This window comes from Homo sapiens, chromosome 1, assembly GCF_000001405.40.
Source record: "Homo sapiens chromosome 1, GRCh38.p14 Primary Assembly".
Taxonomy (NCBI): domain Eukaryota; kingdom Metazoa; phylum Chordata; class Mammalia; order Primates; family Hominidae; genus Homo; species Homo sapiens.
In genome coordinates, this window is record NC_000001.11 from 43,033,174 (window position 1) to 43,037,085 (window position 3,912).

General features: G+C 49.3%; 1 annotated feature.

Moving 5' to 3' along the window:
• Positions 3,042–3,592: an enhancer, noted in NCBI's record as "H3K27ac-H3K4me1 hESC enhancer chr1:43501886-43502436 (GRCh37/hg19 assembly coordinates)". NCBI's record gives its function as "activates a minimal SCP1, AML or CMV promoter by ChIP-STARR-seq in naive H9 embryonic stem cells {active_cell/tissue: H9 hESC(naive)}" and the evidence as "EXISTENCE:reporter gene assay evidence [ECO:0000049][PMID:30033119]".

Here is a 3,912-nt window from a genome sequence, read left to right on the forward strand (position 1 = left end):
TAAGAAATGTACCAGGTGTGGTGGTGCATGCCTGTAGTCCCAGCTACTCAGGAGGCTGAGGCAGGAGGATCACTTGAGCCCAGGTGTTCAAGATTATAGTGAGCTGTGATCATACCACTGCATTCCAGCTTGGACTACAGAGTGAGACCCTGTCTCTAAAACAACAAAAACCTCTTTATGGAGTTTTTGAGATTATGTAAGTTAATATATTTAAAATGCTGGCTAGGCATGGTGGCTCACACCTCTAATCCCAGCACTTTGGGAGGCTGAGGTGGGAGGATTCCTTGAGTCCAGGGGTTCGAAACCAACCCGGGCAACAAAGCAAGACCCTGTCTCTATAAAAAAATAAAAAATTAGCCAGGCGTGGTAGTACGCACCTGTAGTACCAGCCATTCAGGAGGCTGAGGTAGGAAGATTGCTCGAGCCCAGGAGACTGAGGCTGTAATGAACCATGATTATGCCACTGAACTGAAGCTTAGGCAACAGGGTGAGACCCTGTCTCAAAGAAAAAATCCTGAGCACAGAGAATGCCCAAATGTCATACATAATCAACAAACACAAGCTAATGTTATTATTATTAAATGTAAGGAAGGTATTTTAAGCCCCAGTTTACAGATGAAGAATCATATAACAAATAGCTATTTATTATATGATTGTGACTTGTCCATTGACACAAATTTAAGACAGTCTAAACTCTGGCTCCAAAGGAAACTAGAATTTGTTAAGTATCTATAATATAACATGCATTGTATATTGTATATGTATAGGCATTTTACATGTTTTTGGATAATGTCATCTTTGGCATCATTTAGGGTCTGGTAACATGGCACACAGAATATCCTAAATCATAATATTGCATGAATTTTATTATTCTTGTTTAGTGGAAAAAAATTGAGATCCACAGAAGCTAAGAGACTTGCCCACGTTCATACAATTAGCAAACAACAGGGCTGGGACTGGAACCTTGGACCATTGTGGTCACCTGTTTCTCGAGCAAGCCTCAGAGAAGTGAAGTGGCTTGTTAAGGTGTTGCCACAGCTTCTACTCTGCTATCCCACCTCTCCAAACAGTCTTGTGGAATTTTCCAGGATTCTGGGGCTGGAAGCCACCTCTGTGGTCATTAGATGTTTGGCAAAGATGACCAGGACAGCAACATCCTGACTGTCAAAAGGTCACACTGAGTACCCAGAAGGCCAAGTAGGTGAAATGCAAGAATCCCAAGCTGGAGCTCAAAGTCTCTCTCTCTGCCTGTCTTCCCCCCACCCCGCCCCGCTTCCCTCCCTTCCCTTTCCTTCTTCCTTTAGCCCAACAGGAAGGAGTTGTTGCTGTTTGCTTCAGGAAGCAGCTCATACAAAGAGACAGTTCCACACCTTACCACGGCCCCTCCTTTCCCCTCCCTTCCACATAGTGAAAGTAGGAGGAATAATGATTAATCAGGACAGTACTTCCTGAGTGTTTATTATTATGTGCTAAGGACTTTTCATAGGTTGCTCCCCAAGTGAATCTTCACAACAGCCTTTAAGGTTGGCAGCTACTGTTGTTCCTATTCTACAGAAGAGACTGAGGTTCAGAATGGATGAGTAGTTTACTTAAAGTCTTACAGAGAAGGGGAACTAAACTGGACTCCAGTCTGTCTGATTAAAGAGCCCTTGATCTTAATCATTATCACAGACTGCAAAGTAAATGTTAGTACCAGGGACACCGTGGGCAGAGGGACCTGGAATGATATGGCTTCAGGAGGAGTGTAGTTGGAGGGAAGAAAGAGTACGGAAGTCACATCTGAGATGTGGTTCTGGGTTGTGTCTTGTCCCTGGTTTCCTGTATGACTTTGGGCAGATTATTTCACCTCTCTGTGCCTTGAGAGACTTCGTTTGTGCAACAGGGATGAGGCTAAGAGGCCCCACAGCCAACTCTGGGCCATGCGAAGTGTGAGGATGGCAGCAGGAGGAAAATAGGCAGGAGGGTAGGGGCTCTGAGTACTGAGGGAGCTCTCAGGACCCACCTGGGCCCTGCTGCTAGTTCTATGGCCTTAACTCTCTGTTAAGAGCATTTATCTAAAGGGAAGGTCATCTCTACCAAAGTTGCAATAAAAACAACTCTGAGGGAAAAAAGTATATATGAAATATTTATTTTTTCTTTTTCTTTTTCAGATGGGGTCTCACTCTGTCACCTGGGCTGGAGGGCAGTGGTGCAGTCTTGGCTGACTGCAGCCTTGACCTCCTCAGCTCAAGCAATCCTCCCACCTCAACCTCCTGAGTAGCTGGGATTACAGGTGCACATCACCACGCCCAGCTATTTTTTGTATTTTTAGTAGAGACAGGGTTTCACCATGTTGGCCAGGCTGGTCTCAAACTCCCAACCTCAGGTGATCCACCCGCCTTGGCCTCTCAAAGTGCTGGGATTACAGGCAGGAGCCACTGCACCTGGCCTTGAAATATTTCTTTAGGAAAGAAAAAGAGTACTGAAATCCAGCTCAGAAGATCTGGGCCTTAGTCTGGACATAACGATTATGATTACCAAGGGTATAAGTCAAGGCTCAGCCTGACCCCAGCTTGAGTTGGGCTCTGGACCCAGTTCCATTTCTCCTCTGGCCTCAGTCCTGTAATCTGTAAGCTGAAGGTATTTTTTTACAGTCTTTCAACATACTTGCCCTGAACACCTCTGTGATCACTAAGCCCTGTCTCTACCTCAGTTCTTCTCCTCATGCCCCTCTGGGCCTGCCTGGTTCTCCAGGTTTCCAGGTCCAGGCCTCGGTGAGGACACATGGATGGAGGCCCAGGTGGGCAGAGGACGGGAAAGGGGCACAATGCCACCGGACAGACTGCTCCCACCCTGGCCCCTAGGTCCCCCCGGCCCTACTCCAAGTGGCGTGGGGGCCTGGCCTGAGATCAGAGGTCCACCCGCGTCAGCCCGGCCCCTGCTCGCGTCAGGAGGCGCCTTCTCAGTGCAGAACAATGCCGGCTCTTTGAAGGGCTGGGCAGCAGGGGATGGGTGTTTCTCCAAACACAGGGCCTCCTTTGCAAAACAGGCTTTGATTCCCAGGCCCGGAGGCCCCAGGTGCCTGTTGGGCGGCAGGCGGAGGCTGGGGGCTTTGTTTGGCAGGAAGAGGGGCCTCGAAGACTCAGGAACAAAGCCTGGGACAGAGCTGGACAAGGCTACAGCCCAGCCTTGGGCAGGCGGGTCAGGGCTGAGATGCCAGTGGGGGCGCGGCTCCGCATGTATCAGCCCCCACCCCCTCCTCAGTCTGGCCCACTCAGGGTGGCCCTGGACTCCTCTCTCCGTGGATCCTGGCTCTCTCACTTATGCAGCAGGAACTGTTGGATTTCCAGGCTGTCATGATGGTCCACAGGCTCCACAAATCCCTGCTTGGGGATGAAGTGAATAAAACTGGAGTCCAGGACTTTGGATCCAGGCGGCAGGGAGGAAGGAGGCCTGAACGAGAATCCACCAGCCTGTGCTCTGGGCTTAGGTCACTAAGAGGAATGAAGGCTGCCACTTTCTGCCAAATACCATGCTCATTACTTTACACACACGTGTCTCTGATTTAATCCTCATTTTCCCAGGCAACAATGATCTGCAGGGCACCCTAGGTCCTTTCTGGACTCATCTCATATACTCTCCCCTTTACTCACTGCTGTCAGCCACCCCGGCCTCCTCACAGCAAAGACTCAAGTTTGCGGAAAGACTGAGGCAGCCTCAACACTGCAACATAGAAACTCTGCGTGAGTTGTGCACCTGCTGGCTTGCCCTGTCGCCTTCAGACTCAAGGCTGCAACATTGAGTCTTACCTGAATTTCCAGCCTTCAGACCTACCCTACAGGCTTCAGACTTGCCAGCCCTGATGATCACATGAGCCAACTTCACACACACACACACACACACGCACGCACAAACATACACACATACATGCAC